Source organism: Homo sapiens, chromosome 2 (assembly GCF_000001405.40).
Source record: "Homo sapiens chromosome 2, GRCh38.p14 Primary Assembly".
NCBI classification, from domain to species: Eukaryota; Metazoa; Chordata; class Mammalia; order Primates; family Hominidae; genus Homo; species Homo sapiens.
Genome location: NC_000002.12, coordinates 119216729 through 119233482, shown reverse-complemented (window position 1 = coordinate 119233482; position 16754 = coordinate 119216729). Strand labels below are relative to the sequence as shown.

At 53.3% G+C, this 16754-nt stretch overlaps 1 protein-coding gene across 6 annotated transcripts in view, besides 6 other annotated features; it reads right to left on the bottom strand.

Moving 5' to 3' along the window:
• Positions 1-9649, bottom strand: part of STEAP3 (STEAP3 metalloreductase) — a 41819-nt gene extending 32170 nt beyond the window's left edge. For 3 of the 6 annotated variants that reach the window (NM_018234.3, NM_138637.3, NM_001008410.2), the window contains exon 1: positions 9595-9649. Coding sequence is in view for 2 of the 6 variants with exons in the window: in NM_182915.3 (NP_878919.2) it covers positions 2449-2470 (22 nt within the window). In the remaining 4 variants the exon portion in view is untranslated. Of the gene's footprint in view, positions 1-2448; positions 2864-9594 lie in introns of all 6 variants that reach the window. The other 3 variants (XM_011511403.2, NM_182915.3, XM_047444895.1) reach the window with 2 other exon arrangements.
• Positions 345-544: an enhancer, noted in NCBI's record as "active region_16446". NCBI's record gives its function as "activates an Ori minimal core promoter by ATAC-STARR-seq in GM12878 lymphoblastoid cells {active_cell/tissue: GM12878}" and the evidence as "EXISTENCE:reporter gene assay evidence [ECO:0000049][PMID:35858748]".
• Positions 8997-9066: a silencer, noted in NCBI's record as "silent region_11900". NCBI's record gives its function as "represses an Ori minimal core promoter by ATAC-STARR-seq in GM12878 lymphoblastoid cells {active_cell/tissue: GM12878}" and the evidence as "EXISTENCE:reporter gene assay evidence [ECO:0000049][PMID:35858748]".
• Positions 9127-9906: a silencer, noted in NCBI's record as "silent region_11899". NCBI's record gives its function as "represses an Ori minimal core promoter by ATAC-STARR-seq in GM12878 lymphoblastoid cells {active_cell/tissue: GM12878}" and the evidence as "EXISTENCE:reporter gene assay evidence [ECO:0000049][PMID:35858748]".
• Positions 14316-14610: a silencer, noted in NCBI's record as "tiled region #13360; HepG2 Repressive DNase unmatched - State 4:PromP, and K562 Repressive DNase matched - State 12:CtcfO". NCBI's record gives its function as "represses a minimal TATA promoter and a strong SV40 promoter by Sharpr-MPRA in HepG2 and K562 cells {active_cell/tissue: HepG2 | K562}" and the evidence as "EXISTENCE:reporter gene assay evidence [ECO:0000049][PMID:27701403]".
• Positions 14786-15985: an enhancer, noted in NCBI's record as "MED14-independent group 3 enhancer chr2:119975074-119976273 (GRCh37/hg19 assembly coordinates)". NCBI's record gives its function as "activates an origin of replication core promoter dependent on BRD2, BRD4, P300/CBP and CDK7 cofactors, and independent of MED14, by STARR-seq in HCT116 cells {active_cell/tissue: HCT116}" and the evidence as "EXISTENCE:reporter gene assay evidence [ECO:0000049][PMID:35650434]".
• Positions 14819-15415: an enhancer, noted in NCBI's record as "H3K27ac-H3K4me1 hESC enhancer chr2:119975644-119976240 (GRCh37/hg19 assembly coordinates)". NCBI's record gives its function as "activates a minimal SCP1, AML or CMV promoter by ChIP-STARR-seq in naive H9 embryonic stem cells {active_cell/tissue: H9 hESC(naive)}" and the evidence as "EXISTENCE:reporter gene assay evidence [ECO:0000049][PMID:30033119]".

The window sequence follows — 16754 nt, the reverse complement described above, 5'->3', positions numbered from 1 at the left end:
GTACTCAGTGGTGATGAAATAATAATACTATGAGTTTCTAATCCCTTCTGCAGCTTGGTGACATTGTTAGACCTGGCCAAGCATTTCGCTATTTGATAAACTTAGTAACACTGAGGACTTATGCAAAGATGAATGTAAACACTGGAAATAAATATTAACAAAGAGACTGCTGCAGATCTGGTCAAAGTGAAAATCAAACACCAGATCTAAGGTGCATTGAGGTGCAGCCTGGTATGGGGGTACTCATGGAAGGAGGCTTCAGGGATGCTGAGTCAATGGCTTCAGGGTTTTTGGAGGCTCCTGGGCCAGGGCATGGCAACCATTTGGAGGGTTCTGCCCAGTCCCCATTAGGTGGGGGTGTCAGGGCAGGTGAGGCCCAGCTGCTGCCATTGGCAGATGTGCTGTCTCCTTGGCCCTTCCAAACCTGGGTCTGCCTGATCTATGTCTCTGGCCACTTCCCACCCAAAGCTCTTGCTTGCTTTCTGCTTAGGTTATAGGCTTAATCTTTTTGCCTGGGAAGTGCCTTCCCCGCAAGTAGCAAAATTCAACAGGAAGGCCCAGTGCCTTTACAAGGCAGAATTAATTTCCCTGCCTCTGGCCCCTTGGCTCTGCAGCACAGGTAACAGGATGCAACTAGCATACGGTGGTGTGTACTTTCCCTTAGAGGTCCCAGGGGTAGGTGGTGGGGGGCCCTACTCCCCACCATCTCGATCACCCTTCCCCACATGCTAATGTTAGTATTAAAACTAACACCCTTGGATATGAACAATCTACATCTCCCAGTCAGGTAAAGTGAATAACAGCTTCTGCAAAGTCTTTCCCATTTTATGGATCTGAAATTTACAATATAAGTCAAAAGCAGCGCACATTTTATGCAAATAAGAAGTTTTCAGGGAAGTCCCCCACCCTGTGACTGCCCCATGTAGAAACTCCGGGCCTCCCCTACAGCATGAATTCCGTCTTCCCCAACAGAGAGGAGCGGGGCAGGCACATCCCAGCACCTAACAAATGCCTGGCATGGGCACAGCTGCAATAACCAGGAGTCAAATGCAGAGAAGTGCCAGCGAGGCGAAGTCGGGGATCGTGCCTGTGGATGTGGGCACAGGGTTTGACCTGCAGAAGGCTATAATTCCTTCTACTTTGCAGAAGAGAAAACTGAGGCCCAGTCAGGTTAAAGGTCCTCCTCTGGGCCCCGAGTTGGCTCTTGCCTGCCCCGGATCCACTGTGCCCTGGGCCCATCCAGTCCCTGCATTCAAGCTGCCTCTGGGGTGGGGAGGGTCTGTGGCTCATTGCTCAGGATGTGAGTAACAGCCAGTCACCCAGTCAGCACCAGACTCTGGTGTCTTCTGCTTTCTTCTGCTTCAGTTTTCTGTCTCCTCACTGAGCTGCTCCAACTCATACTTTCCAGCCCCTCATTCTCAGGCTGTTTCTGCAAATCCAGGGCTGCCCCCTATCCTAGAACCCCTAGGCTTCATTCTTACTGGGCCTGGGGTCCAGGAAGCCCCACCTGATCCCAGGTCCCTTTTGCTATCCCACCCCTAGCCTCCCACAGCTGACCTGAGGGCAGAGAGGCCAGAGGATGCCAGTCTCAAATCATGGTTTAAAAGCTCACTTATAGCCACACACATCTAATTGGTAGATTTCTATTTTTCTCTGTGGGCATTTTCCCTTTCTGATGGACTCTTACAAACGTTTTACTGTTATATTTCTTGTAATACTGCCTGGAATCATTATTTAGACATCATTAAAAAATTATTATCTTTTTAAAAGGAAGGCTGAGAAGTTCCTACAAAAGAGAATACAGAAAACTCAAGCACACTCGAGCCAATCCCCGCAGAAATACACGTGCGCGCAAGTTTCGTCTGATGGAAAAGAGTTTACCGTCACACAACTGTGCAAAATAAAAGTGAATGAATAATTTAGAGAGCTTTTTACAAACAGCTAGATTTTCGAATCATTCCAGAAAAATCTGGTTCATTTACTTGCAGCAGCAGTTCCGTGCTAAACCAATGCAGAAATGGTTACCAATAAGAAAAATTTACAATTCCCAATGGGCCTGCATTCCACAGAAATGCATCATAAACATTAACATCCTTAAACACACACACACACACACACACACACACACACACACACACACGCAACTGTGTGTGATAAATCCTTGAACCCCTGAAATTTAAAAGCCTCCTGACTTAATAACCTGGACTCCCTTTCCTCCAAAGGGGGCCATGAAAACGTGCAGCTGATACATATTTCCCATTTCATACTGCACTTTTTGCAGCCTGTTCCAAGGCAGTACAGATCTCTGGGAGGTGTCGAGTTCCTCGGACCTCCTGGAGATTCAAGGGGCACCCTCCAGCAGGGCAGGGGTCAGGTGGTGAGGGAGCTGGTGGGAGGGGTTTGCACACGACCCATGCCCCCTTGGATCTGCGTCCTAGCCAGACTTACCAACAGCAGGCTGGTGCGACATCCGGCTGACGTGAGGGTCTGAGGCTCTCAGGTCACTCGACAGCCTCACCGTGAGGTGAGCCACCCTTTCTGGCTCAGTCTCCAACCAGGACAGCCTGGCTTTGGTTCTGACTCTCGGTTTCTCAGGAGGCGAGGGCCCTGCCAGGGTCTTGCACAGCCAGCTGCCTCCCGCAGCCTGCACGCCAGCTCTTGGCCACAGGGGCTGGACCGGGAGTGGTGACTGATGCTTGGTTGGAGAGTGCACTGAGAGAGCGCAGCTCTGGCCTGCTGCTTCCTGCTCGGGGAGGAAACCTCACGGGTGATAATTAGTGGCTCAGACTCAAGTCTCTTTGCTACAGGAACTGAGGTGGGACGACCAGTAGAACCCAGGATGCATAAAATGAATAAATGTCATCTAACGCGCGCACACACACGTGAGCGAGAGAGAGAAAGGGAGAGAGGCGTTTACTCTTCGGGATACAAAGGCAAACATAATGGCTGCAGAAAGTGGCAATTTATCAATTTCTGTGGGGGAAATTTATTGCAGTCACCATGGCTGCCACTGGCTTAGTGATAATGCTGTCAGCATTTGGTGCCCACAAAGGCTTCATTGTCATCTTTACTTGCTTGTCAGTGCTCACAGTGGGGAGAAAGACGGACAGACAGACAGACAGACAGACCCACAAACAGATGACAGCACTTGTCTCCAGGGCAAAGCATGGACGGGGGCTGAAGAAGACACAGGCATGTTTCTGCTGGCTGGGGATGGCTTTTCAGTGGACCTTGGAGGCCACACCGGCAGCCCAAAGGAGGCTGGAGGTTTGGAAGCTTTTGCATTGTTGAAGTGAATTATGTGCAAGCCCATTCTTAGGGATAAGTGTATTCTATTGTTTTCAACTTGTTTGGAACCTAGCGATCTTGGAATAGGGCACATCTAAGTATCCCGGGCATCTTTATCTCAAGCCCACATGCAGAACCTGTTTTTCAGATCCCTGAGCATCTGATAAACAGGTTCTGGGCAGGTTTCCCCTATCATCACCAAACACCAAGCCAAGGCCTCATTGTTCTCTGACTGCTGTGGCCCCCTGGGTCTCCTCTCTTCTACTGGAGTGAAAGCCCCTGTGGGCAGGGCTAGATTCCTGAATCTCCGCGGAGTCTAACACAGGCCTGTAGGCAGGGACTGACTTCCACTACCCCTCCTTCCAGTCCCTGCCCACTCCACCCCCCACCACAGCCAATGGCATTCTTTCCATCTCCAATCTTGACAACCTCCTGGCCCATCCCAATCCCCCTTCCTTAAAGATCCAGCCCAAGGCCTTGGGCACTTAAGGCACCTGCCATCTCCCCCAACGCCCACCCCTGACAATCTCTCCCGGCTTTGAATTCAGACAGGCAGCTGTGTTAGTTGGGGGACCTAGCTGGACAGAGATGTGTGTGAATTCCGGTCCAGCCATGTGCTAGCTGTGTGACGTTGGGTAGGTTGCTTTCCCTCTCTGTCCTGATGATTAAACAGTGAATATGAAACCCCTAAACACATGTCTTCCTTAGGACTGTTCTTGTGTGCACCTTTCCTTGCTCTGCTGTGGCCACTCACTGCACGTGGCCCCTCTGCCACTCTGGGTGCTCTATGGTCAGCTGAGGGAGGGACCTAAGTGCCCTCCACCCCTGCACATCCTCACAGCCCCTCACATCGCTCTCTGCTTAGGTGAACTAATAATACAAAAATTAGCTGGGTGTGGTGGAGCACACCTGTAATCCCAGCTGCTCGGGAGGCTGAGGCACGAGAATTGCTTGAAATTGGGAGGCAGAGGTTGCAGTGAGCCGAGATGGCACCACTGTACTCCAGCCTAGGTGGACACCTGTTGAGCCAGCAGGTGTCAGGCAGTGCTTTCAAATATTTGTGAACACCAGAATCGCCCGGGCAGTTTAAGTGGGTGGGTTTCTGGGCAGCCCCAGGCCCAGAGTCTCTACTTCAGTGTGTTGGTGTGGGGTGGATAGGACTCTATTTTCCTGTCAAAGCTGCTGGGGGGTCTCCAGATCTCTTTGGAGAAGCTGCACTGTGAGGAAACCGCACCTGAGGAAAGCAAACCTTTCTGTTGCTTTTGAGAGTACAGGAGCTGGAGAGTACGCGTTCCTGGAGGGCTCCAGGTCAGCTGTGACAGCTGCCCCCTGGGGTTCTCACTGAGACCTTGGCTCTACCCTGAGCTCCCTCAGCCTTGAGACTTCTCCTCCTCTCAGCACCCCCCACAAGCCATGCCAGATGTTAAAGGTCATGGGAGGGTAAGCGGCAGCCCCAATGGAACTCACACCAGCACAGGTGACACAAGGTTTCCAGCCTCCAGCCTTCAGATCTGGGAACACCAGGAGGGCAGGGCTTTCCCAGATGCCTGCCCCTCCACCCACCCATCACCCTGATTTCTGGCTGCTGGGCCCAGCACTGTCTTGCTTCCTTCCCTTCCAGTTCCAGGCACCACCTTCTTTCTGGCCAGTCCAGAGACATCTCCAAGGGCCAGAGGGTCATCTCCAGAGGGCCTGGTGTCACTTCCCGCAGCTGCTCTGGCCTTTCACCCAGGTTGGGGCGATTTGATGGACAGTGGTGGGTCCCCTCAAACTCCACTGCATTCAGCGTGCTACTGACTCATGTGCAGGCCTGGGCAGTCACCCAGAAAGCCCCCCTGGATGCCAGCAAGCCCACTGTGGCAATGGGCAGGCCAGACCTCACCTGGAGGGCCCAGCTCACAGCCACTGTATCCTCTAGCTGTGCACCCAGAGTTCACCTTCAGAGAGACACTTGCCCTGACTGGGGGTATACTGTTACTCTCTCAAGCCCACCAGGAAAATCACGCACCACTCCCCACAGCCTACTGGCCACCCCACCAGTCGGATGCTTATAGAAATGGGAAGCAGCCGGCTGTGGTGACTCACACCTGTAATCCCAGCACTTTGGGAGGCCGAGGCAGGTGGATCACCTGAGGTCAGGAGTTCAAAACCAGCCTGGCCAACATGGCAAAACCCCATCTCTACTAATAATACAAAAATTAGCTGGGTGTGGTGGAGCACACCTGTAATCCCAGCTGCTCAGGAGGCTGAAGCAGGAGAATTGCTTGAAATCGGGAGGCAGAGGTTGCAGTGAGCCAAGATGGCACCACTGCACTCCAACCTAGGTGACAGAGCGAGATTCTGTCTCCAAAAAATAAATAAATAAATAAATAAATAAATAAATACAAGAAATGGGAAGCTTGTTCCCTCACAGACCCCAGCATGCTGGCTTTGGGAGCCCTGCTGTCTACACATGAACCAAGACAGCTGACACCACAAAATAAAGCTTAGTGGGCCCATTCACCGACCCCAAATCTCTTTATATGTACCGAAGTCGGCTTTATAATCTTGGGGCAGTATTTTTTTAACGTGTTTAATAACAAGGCTTAAACATGTGATCTTTGCTGAACTCCCACCTGGCTCTCATTAAGCAGAAGGCAGAGATGGAGTAAGTCACAGCCTGATTGCGGAACAATCAGTGCTCACTTGTTGCCCACGCTGCCCGGTAACTGTGGGCATGCAGAAGACAGACTGACTGGGAAGAGTTGAGTATCGAACAATTCTCCGGTGACAGTGTTCTTACGGTGCTGAAGCAATGAACGCCTGGCCCATTCAGTGCAGGGCTCACGAGACCAGGCCACACCTGAAGAGGAACACACTCTGCCCCTGGGTTGAAGTGACAACGCAAGAGTTTGTGATCCACAAGCAGTCGCCCATCAGCCCTGATGGCAGGCACAGTGGTTGATCCCTCCAGCTCAGTGGGTGAGGGGAGCGGGTGTCTTTGGTTTTGCATCCTTGCTCACTCACATGAGCTATAGGTCCTGAGCCTTACTGCCACCGTGTCTCCTCACTCAGATTCGCAAGTACGCAGAGGGCACGGGTGTTTGTGGGGTGGTTGATGACAACAACACTCATCCTGCCAGAAGTGGGACTCAGCTGGTCTTAGAGTGCCTGGCTCAAAGTTAGTGCTCGGTAAGTGTTTGTTGAATGAATAACCGATGAGGCAGAATTTGGACAGGAGAATGTGGCAGTTAGTTAGTGGCTAGGAGTCTCAGGTTAGGGGTGGAAAAAAAGAGGTTGGGGTCCATATGGAGTTGGAAAGTCACATGGTTGGGAGAATAACATTATCGACCTCCTAAGAGTCTCCAGGTACAAATGAGCTCCTGTAGATAAAGTGTTTGGCCCGGATGCTGGCACATGGGAGGCTGAATGTCAGTGATGAGGACTGGCATTTCAGGCAGGATGGTGAGGGTGTGTGGCATGCCAAGGATGTGACGGTTGGAGCACAAAGAGGCCCGGGACCTGTGGGAGGCTGTGTTGGACAGGTGGGTGGACCCAGCTGCAGGAGACAGATGGGAGGAAGAGGGACTTCTGTAGCCCAATGTTTGAAAACCATCTAGTCTCCAACCCCGATCCCTGCCCCTCTCCTCTCCAAGTTCTGTAATCTCCACAGCCTCTCAAATTGGGATGGTTTGGCAGGGGTGGGGTAGGAGCAGAAAAAAGCACACACCCTTCCAACTCCTAGAGGGAGGAAAGGCACCAACTTGGCCTTAGGTTTTAATAACTACTTAAACTGGTAAACATCCTCATTTTAAATCAAGAGGCAACTCCCTGGTCTAGATGCTAGAAAGCAGTTTCATAGTGCTCAACCTGCTCAGCTCAGGAAGACCTGGCCACTACGCACCGTGGGTGGACAGGAAAGAGTGGATCCAGCCTCAGCTGGAAGACCAGAGAGCCCGACTCCCCAAATGACCTGCTTCCTTCCCTTGCCCCAGCCTGCCTGAATCTCACCCCAGCCCTCTCAGTTGTTCATTTGTAGCTGGACAGGGAATGTAGCAGGCAGCGTAGACCGCCAGGCTGGGAGGCATCAGCTGAGACTGAGCTGGGAACCCTGGGACTTGGAGCCAAGGCCAGCTCTGCCACAGAGCACGGAACCTGGAGGCCACTCTCTAGGCCTCAGTTGCCTTCTCTAGGAAAGCTAGTGGTTCGGTCTACAAGAGCACTAGGCCTGGAAGGCCCCTCACTGGTTAACTCGCAAACCTGAGGTGAAGAAGGAGGGATCCGATATTTACTGCACTCCTAAAACTCAGCACTTCACACACTTAGTCCCCCAAATAGGCATACTTGTTTTATGAGGATATCCTGTTTGAAGCCCTTGGCAAGGTTTTGCAAATAAACAGAGGTTCAGAGAGCTGAGGGCTTCATGTTACGGGGTAAGGAGCTGAGATTTGGACTCGTCCATCTGACTCCAAAGCCAGACTATCCCCAGCACTCAGCCAGCGACCTTTTGCCCACTCAGCTCTCAGGTGTGCGCCTTTGGACTTCACTCAAGAACTTTCACTTTTTAACCACCTGAAGCCCTGCCCAGCACCTTGGTCTCTGATAAGTCCAAGAAGGGAAGGGCTGTGGGCCAAGGATAGGAGATATGAATGGGAGAGGAATCTACCTGTTTGACATCTCTAGGCTGGAGAGGGAACATGTGTGATCCCAGCTTGACCTGGCCTGGTCCTGGGGACCTCAGCAAACCTGGGGCAGGCTGTTCAACCCCCAGGTGGACAAGTGGCCCAGCCTGAGCTCCCTGCTGGCTCTGAGGCCAGCATTAGACTGTGTCACTTCCATACCTGCTGCCGGATTGCCTGGCTGAGGCCACCTGCTCCATTTAAGCCCCCTTCAGGACACTAGTGACACCATCTACCCCACCCCGCCCACTTACCCATTAGACATTCACTAAGCACCTGCTCCTTGCCAGCCCCTCTGCAGGCCACCAGGGACAGAGATGAGTAAGACATAGTCTGGGTCCTCCAGGTGCCCCTAGCTGATTCAGTCAGCTTCGGATGGGACTTGGGGATCTATATTTTTAACAAGCCTTGCAGGTGACTGAGAGGACACACCCAGGTGAGACCCTTTGGTTTTGTGGACCTTCTGGCTCTCAGCACTGTATTCTTGGGGCTGCCAGAATCCCCGTGAGGACACAGCCTGTTTCGCCCCAGTGGTAGGTTCCTCTGGGCTCCAAGTCAGATAACTCTGGGTTCAAATTCTACTTCTGCAACTTCCTAGCTGTGTATCCTTGCAAAATACGTGGACTCTCTGAGGCTGTTTCCCCATTTTTAACAAGAGATAATGGTGCCTTCCTGTTGTGAGGATTAACTGGGATATTGTGCTCAAAGCCCTTAGCAAGATGCCTGGCACACATAAATGGGAATATCTGCTGTTAATTATATTATGGCTGCACTCTGATGGACAGAAATACCTCCCTGGGGGCATTTCCAGAATCCCCACTTCTGGAGCCCATCTCTGAGGTGGCCCTGGATATTTGGGAGGCCTCTCTGTGCCCTCTGCCAGGGCTCCAGCGGGACCTTCCTGCTTCTCCCCACGGATCCGGCTTTCTGGTCCCCAAACCGCATATTATCTGGGCACACCCTCCCCTTCATTTACCCAGAGTGACCAAAGTTCCAACCACACCTCTCCGGGCAGCCTGTCCCCAAATTTCGGGGAAGTGGGCAGGAGGGGGAGCTTTGCCGGGCAGGAGGGGGAACTTTGCCAGGCAAGGGCTCCGCGGGCAGAGGCGGGCACTGGTGAGGCCAGCCTCCTCCTGGGGACCAAGGTCGGGCGCCCCTGCCCAGCCCCTGCACCTGCCCCTGTCCCTGCCCTGTTCGGCTGCGAAGGGACTGGGAGGTCTGGCGAGGAAGAGCCTGGAAGATCCCCGCCCACAGCTACCAGCCCTCCTTTGGGACCGCTGGCCAGAGCCCCAGCCGTGGGGCACACGGGACCTGTGGACTCAGCCGGGGTCATCCGGAGGGGCGCCCACATCTGCACCCGGGGCTCCGGAGCCTGCTCCCCGCCACTGTCGCCGCCGGCCCTGCCTAACCTGCGCGGCGCAAGCGGCTTCCACGCCTAGGGAAGGAAGGCACACGGGGTGGGGGCCCCGGAACCCGGTTTCTCTGCCGCCGGGCGCACGTGGCTCGGTCCCAGGGGACAGAAGTCGCCTCCAGACGTGTGGCGGCACCCGAGGTCCGCGCAGCGACGGCGCAGGGTGCAACCGGGCGGGCGTCTCGGGGACCGGGCGCAGCACGCAGCCCCGCGGAGACCGGGGGAGGGTACACTCACCTCTGCGGCCCGCCGCTCGGAGCGACCGCGGCAGCTGAAGGTCCGCGGCGAAGGCGGTGGCTCGGCCCGAGGCTCCTCCTCCCCCGCGCCCCACCCGCCCGGGAGGGCCGGACCTGCAGGGGAGGTGGCCGCCCTCCAGCCCGCCGCAGCTTATCCGGCTCGGCCACCTCCCCCGGGGCCGCAATCAGGAGCCGCCGGGTCCTCGCTCCCCGCCCAGCCCTGCACAGCCCCGGCAGCGGTGGCAGCGTCCAACCACCCTCCTCCCCTGGCCCCAGGCGGGAGGTCGCCAGCCGGCGCCAACACTTCCTGATTTGCAGTGCCCGGCACACGGCTGAAGTGAGCAGAACTCCGGGACCTCCTCTTAACCCGGCCACGGAGGGCACCGAGGCCAGGGTGACCTCTAGGCCCCCCTCTCTTAACCTGAGGAGCACCTCGAATCCTTGTCCATTTTATAACCGAGGCCAAGTGGCAGCCACGGTTGCAGGTGGGAAGAGACCAGGGCTCCAGATTGGGTCCGGATCCCTTCCCTCTCAACAAGGTTGCGCCCAGGCCTTTGTGGTCCCCCCCCAATCTCTGTCCCTTGTCCACCCTTAGGGCAGACTTTTGACCCTTCCCAGCAGTCCTCAGGTTCCAAGACCGGTGGGATGGCGGGTACCTTTCTCCCGGAGCTGCCTCCCTGTCTAGGCCTTCTGGGCTCTGAAACCCTACCCGTCCCCCCTTCCCCCTGGGGCACTGCCCGCTGCCCTCCGCACTTCCAATGCCGATGGCTTCACAGCACTGCAGCGAAGCAGGGCGTAAGTAAGGGGAGGCTGTCTGTGGGCACCTCTCTAGAGGTGTGCGCCCTGGTCCGAAGCCCCTTCTCACCTGTGGTCACATTTGCCGGCTGCAGTTATTTTCTTTACAGGTGAGGAGACCCGGGCTTTTCCGCTCAGATTCGTGGAGGCTGAGTGGGGGTTCCTGACCCCTGGTACTCTTTCTAGAGTATTCCTGGGAGACATACACTATTAGCCTCTGATAAGGAGCTTCAGGTTATTTTTAGGAAGTCTAAGAATCCTGTTTTCTGGGGAGCCAGCCTCTGTTGGGGAGATAAGCCTCCGGAGGCCAGAGGCAGGAGCTGGGCCTCAAGGAAGGCCCCACAACTGGACCCCAAAGGGCACGGTGGGGAGGAAGAGGCAGAGCTCTGGTCTCCCTGTGGAGGGAGTGCTGCTGTAAAGCGCCTTTCCCTCCACCCCCAACTCCCGCCGAGAACCCCCCCACCCCCGCAGGCAGTTTGCTTTCCCCCTCCACAGCTTTCCTCCTACCCGAATACCCACCTCCCAGCTCTCTGCTCAGCCAGGGCCCAAGGCCAGAGCCTCTCTTCTCTTGCAAGAACTTTCCTGTCCCACCTTGCCCCAGGGCAACACCTCTTATGGCAATTCTTACAGGTCCTTTATCCATTCAACACTCACAGTGCCCCAGGTGCCAGACAGTGCTCCCAGTGCTGGAGACACACGTGCCCAATGGAGGTTCCTGCCCTTAGGGTGCCAGGGCTGGTGAGTGGCCCCTGCAGTGGGTTGTAAACTTTGAGAAGACAAGACCCAGTTCCTAGCCCCCTCTGGTGCCCCTAATATGCTCCCCCTGCAGTAGCTGTTCTTTTGATGCCTGCTCCTGCTGATGGGGATGGCTGAATAGCCTTCCTTTAATGCCCAAGGACAGCACAAGGAAACCGAGCTTGGGAAATGCAAACACTGAGAGGTCTTCCAGCATCTTTGGAAGAATCCCTGGGAACCAGTGTCTTTTTGTGGGGCTCTCCATGCATGAGTAAGAGAGAGGAAGACTTTTTTTTGAGGCGGGGAAGCGGGGCTCTCCATGAGTAAGAGAGACAGGGGGAGACATTTTGAAGGCTGGGCTGCCAGAGGTCTATAGAGGATTATCTTAAAAGGAACATGAACTCCTGCTGGAAAAAGTAGAGGGGTCTGAAATTTCTCACAGACAGGGAGGGAGGTGAATACCCTACTTGGGCCCACACACTTTGGCAGAGAGGCCACCGCCCACGCCGTTGACCTTTGGTGCTTGTTCTGTCCACTGACCGTTGGACTAAGGGGGCCTTGAGTGTGAGCTTGTCTCACCTGGCATGGGGTCAGGTGTTTCCAGAAGCTTGAGAGCCAAATTTCCCAAAGCAGACGAGCCCTTTCCTACTCCAGGGAGGAGTGCAATGTGCTGAGCTTTGTTGAGCACCTTCTATGGGCCAGACTCTGGTGTCCTCTGCCAAGGATAGAACAGTCAGAGCCATCCTTGCAAGATGTTTGCCAGATCGCATTTCTCCTCTGCTCAAAACTCTACCCCCTCCCCCAGCAAAAGTAAAGTCCTTGCAATAGCCGTGGCCCAGTGTGATTGGCCTTCTCTCTGCCCTCATCCTCTGTCTCCCTCTCTCTGCTCACATTCAGTCCCACCTCAGATGAATCTGACAGGATCCTGACCCCTGCCGTTCCCCTTGCCTGGACCCTAGGCATCCCCAGGTACCCTCCCTACCTCCTCCAAGTCTTGGCTGAAAGGTCATCATTTCTGTGAGGCCCACGCTGATCGCCCCCATTCCTCATCCATGTACCTGCTTGCTTTCTTTTTTTCCCCATAGCCTGTATTACCTCTGAACACACTATAAAATAGAGTTTTTTGGACTGTTTTTCAGTAACTGTCTTCTCCCATAGAAATGTGAGCTCCTCCTGGGCAGGGATTTTTATGTTTTATTCAATTCCGTATCTCTAATGGATAGAGCACTGCCTGGCTCATAGTAGGTGCTCAGTAAATACCTGTTGCATGAATGCACACCCGTCCTCACACTTCCTTGCCTCTTTTAGCATCTCAGAAATGTCCCCACAGCTCCTGCCTACTCTGCTCTCCTTTTTATGCCCCCAGCTGGTGTGATGCTGATTCAGAGGGGTGCTCCACTTATGCACTTAGGGATGTCTGCCCCTGGAGTTGCTGAATATTCAATTTACAGAGCCCCTGGGATTGCCCTTTTTCCTTGAAGACAAGGTTAGCTGTTTGGCTAAGAAGAGAATAGCATCCAGGAGAAAATCTAGATTTATTTCTTATTTGATCAGGAAGGAGAGGGATGTTGCTCACCCTCAGCTTCTTGGATTAATCCAGCATTTATAGGATGGGACAGAGCAGGTCCACTTCACAAAATAAATCCTCCATGAAAACGAGATGGCCACGGGAAGCTGTATGCCCCAATGTACTCTGACACCCTAGCCAGAAGCCAGGCCACTTGGATCTGGTCCTGCCCAGTGGGCCGTGGCTGCAGGAAAGGTGCCGCTCCCCACTGATGCTCTCCCCACTAGACCAGGTGCTGCAGGACTCCTCCAAGTTCTGGAGCACAGGAAGCTCTTTCCTATGTAAGGCTGCATTCAGGGCAAATGGAGGCATTGTCTTTGCCATCACAATGACCTGATGGGTGGAGGCACATCAGCAGCAGTCAGAGCTGAGGCAGGGCAGGTAGTGGGAGAGGGCACTGAGCGGGGAGGCCAGCTGACAAAGGGGTGCTGGAGCCTGGGACTGAACCTCACAGATTCTGCTTTCCATGGCCCATGATGGTGACCCAATATTGTACAGCATTATAAAGTGTGGCTTACAGGGCATTAGGACACCCCCCCCTCCACATACACACACGAAATGTCCCTGCACCCCAGAATTTGGAATTCTACTGGAGCATAAGGTTGTCCTCCTTCCAGTCTTCTCTCGAAACATGAGCCCTCCAGAGAGGAAGCACTGTCTGAGCTCTGTGTCATGAGAATCTGTGTATCTGCAGGGAGATGTAACTGTGGCCAGCGCAAGAGTATGGAGTAGCTTCCAAAGGAAGTTGCTTTTTATTTGTTTATTTTGGCTCAAGGGAGCATTGATAAAGGCAGTTGCTGAAGGAAGAGTGGATAAAAGATGCCAGGGTGGAGGGTGGGTGGGGGAGCAGGACCAACCATCTTTCTGAGGGAGCTTCCTGGCGCGTAGTAGGTACTTAAACTTTTGTGTATGATCAACGGTCTTGGCTTGTGACTAGACCAAGATCGCCAACCAGAATGGAGGGAGGCTGACCCAGCACATCCCGGAAGCATTTACAGAGCCAAGGAAGAGATTCTTCTTGCCCGTCTATGATAACATTGCATTGCCTTTCAGCTGGGGGCGATTAGAAAGGCACTCACTACTAGATCATGGGAGATGCCTGGGTTTTAACCCCTTGCTGCTCGGAAGGTGGTGATCATGATGGCCTGGGAGGGTTTTAGAATGGCAGAGTGTCAGGCCACCCCAAAGCTCCCAAATTAGAATGGCATTTTAACAAGACCCCCTAGGAGGTTGTATACGTGTTTAAGTTTGAGAAGCGCTGGTCTACATTACAACTGAGGAAACTCACTACTCCCTGAACACCTGCATCAAGGTAGATTCACAGAAACCTAGAACTGGATGACACTTCCCCTCACCAGGGTGCATGACAATATCATACTTTTTGCTTGCTAAAAAGTCCTTGTGAGGCAAATAGTCTGATAATCTTCTGAATTTCTACAAATATGGAAAAATAACTCTACCCTTTTCAACATCAGTGCCTATTACACAAAGCTCCAAGAAAAAAAAAATCATGATTAATATTTTTACTCTTTTCCCATAACTGATCATATTTCCCCTTTTACTGTGGTAGCCAGGATACTCAGGCACATGTTCACGACTATATCGTCCTTATTAAATATATTTAAATGCTACTTTCTTTCCCCCAGTCCATGATTTTTTTGTCTGATTTACTACTAGCCTTATTGCTAAGCTTTTCGAGGTAAGCCGTCCCAAGCAGCCTTTGGAAAAAGTCAACCGCGTAAGCAAAATAAATAGGAAACTTCTGTGCACTCCAGTAAGGGAGTCCTCTTTCCCCTTGACTGCTGTCACCTTTCGTGGTCGTGGCACGTCCTCTGCTGGATTTTTGAGCCAAGGACAGAGGGTTTGGGAGAAGGAGGCCTCCTTGGACTTCTGCCAGGAGTTACTGAGAAAAGAAAACCCAACCAGCTGGGGGGCCAGTTGGGGGGAAATCTGCACAGGATGTTCACACTGTGCCCCTCCCTGCTTCTTTCCTGACCCCCAGAGCTCACCTCAACACATCTGGAGTGTAGGGTGTTGTCTGCCCTGTCAGACCACTCTCCACACACAGCCTGGGGCAGGAACAATGGGACAGGTGGCTGGTGCTCACTCAGCACAGCAGGGGTGGTGGAAAGACACATGTCAGCTGAGGCTTGGCTTCAGGGCAGGCAAGTCACAGCCAAGTCACAGCCCAGCCCAGCATAGGCAAGGTGTAAAAGTCACTGGCCTCAAGGTCATACGCAAACACACTGTGATCAGAAGTGGAGGTAAATACACCCCACAGGGCTGGGATATGTTCTGGCATGCCCAATTCTGTTTCCTTGGTCTTGGCCTTCAAGGGGAGGGAAGGGAAAGGAAAGAGAGTTTGCTGAAGTCCCACCTGGGGCAGGCATCGTGCTACATTGAGGTCAGCCCCCTTCAATCCCCACTGAGACCCTGCAGAATGGGTGGGATCAGCCCCATTTTTCAGATGAAGAAGTGACTTTTTTAGTATCATGCAGTGAGGAAATGGCAGATCCGGGATTTGGACCAGGTCTGCCTGACTCTCAGATCTTCCACTACCTTTGACCCGCTAGGTGGAGGGCTCCTGTGAGCTGTGGCCTACACACCTGTGGTGATCCCTCAGTACTGAGGACCAGGACCAGCTTAGTGTGAGGGCCCAGCAGGGGCAGTCCATGCAGGGAGATGAACCTGGGGGATTTTCTCCCAAACACTCCTCACAGAGCTCCCTGGCCTGCCTAGGCAAGATCCTACCAGCCATCCCCAATCACTGGTTGTGTCTACCTGAGATCTGCACAGCTCGGATGCAGGTCTGTGGAATATCAGGCATGTCACTGAGAGTCTGGTTCTGTGTGGTGTACTACCTGATTTCATGGACACACACACAGAAGGCCATCGTCTCAGAGCCATCTTTAGGCGTTTGCTGGTTACGGCAGCCTGGGAGAAGCCAAGTCACTGCAAGAAAAGGTAAGGGAGATAATGGCTCGAGACCCTCCCTCAAAGGTCTAGGGGCACAGCTACCCAGGTTTGGGGCCTCCAGGGAAGAGGGGAGATGAGACCTTGGCTTCTGGAGGCTTCCATAGGGTAAAGGAACATGCGCAGGCTTTGAAACCACACGGACCTGGTTCAAATTTCACATCTCCGCTAAGTCTCCATTTCCTCCACTGTAAAATGAGTGTATAGACCTCTTAACAGGTTGTAAGAATTAAGTTCCCAGGAAAGTGCTGGGCACTTAGTAGGTGTTCATTAAAAGGCTGTCAGATAATCTGAAAGGAAAAGAAACGGTGTTCAGAGAGGAAGGGAAATACTGAAGAAGACAGTTCCCAAAGGAAATTTACCTCCAGGCAGGCTCTGCTCCACCCCCTTGGAAAAGGTCTTCTTCCTTATCCTGTGTGATGATCTAAACCCTCCTTTTCTCTGAGAGGCTCTCAGGGAACTTGCTGTCCTCTGGCCTCCCCCTCTCCCACAGCGAGGAACCCCAGGTGGGCAAAAGACGCCAGTGGCCCCTCCTCCTCTTTCTCCTTTTCTCACATGAACAGTAGGTGTTGTTGGCACCCTGGTCTGGGAATCAGGAAACCTGGCCATGCCCCACCCCCATGGCTGGCTGATTCATAAAATCTCTTCTTGTTGGACCTCGCACTCCTGCCAGCTTGAGGTATCTGAGATCTTGGTGTTGGAAACTTCCACTGCTACTCTGAGAGTTGCTAGGAACAGGCCCTGCCTTGTGCAAGGGCAGAGGTGCCCTGAGAGGCGCTTCGGGAGATGGGGCTGGGGAGGGAGGAGGCAGATGATGAGAGGCCTGATTTGCCTTTGGTGAGAAGTGAGGCTTTATCATGCTGGCGGTGGGAGCCCAGAAAGATTTTAGGAGGTATGCATCTCTGTGTGATCATAATAGCTAATATGTTTTTGAGTGCTTGCTACATCCCAGATGCTGTTCTAAGAAGCATTTTGACTGTATTAACTCATCTGATCGTCATAATACATTTTCCGTTTTTGAATTTGGAAACTGAGACACAGGAGGTTAAGTCACCTGTCTGATGTGACATATCTCAGAAAGTGGCAGAGCC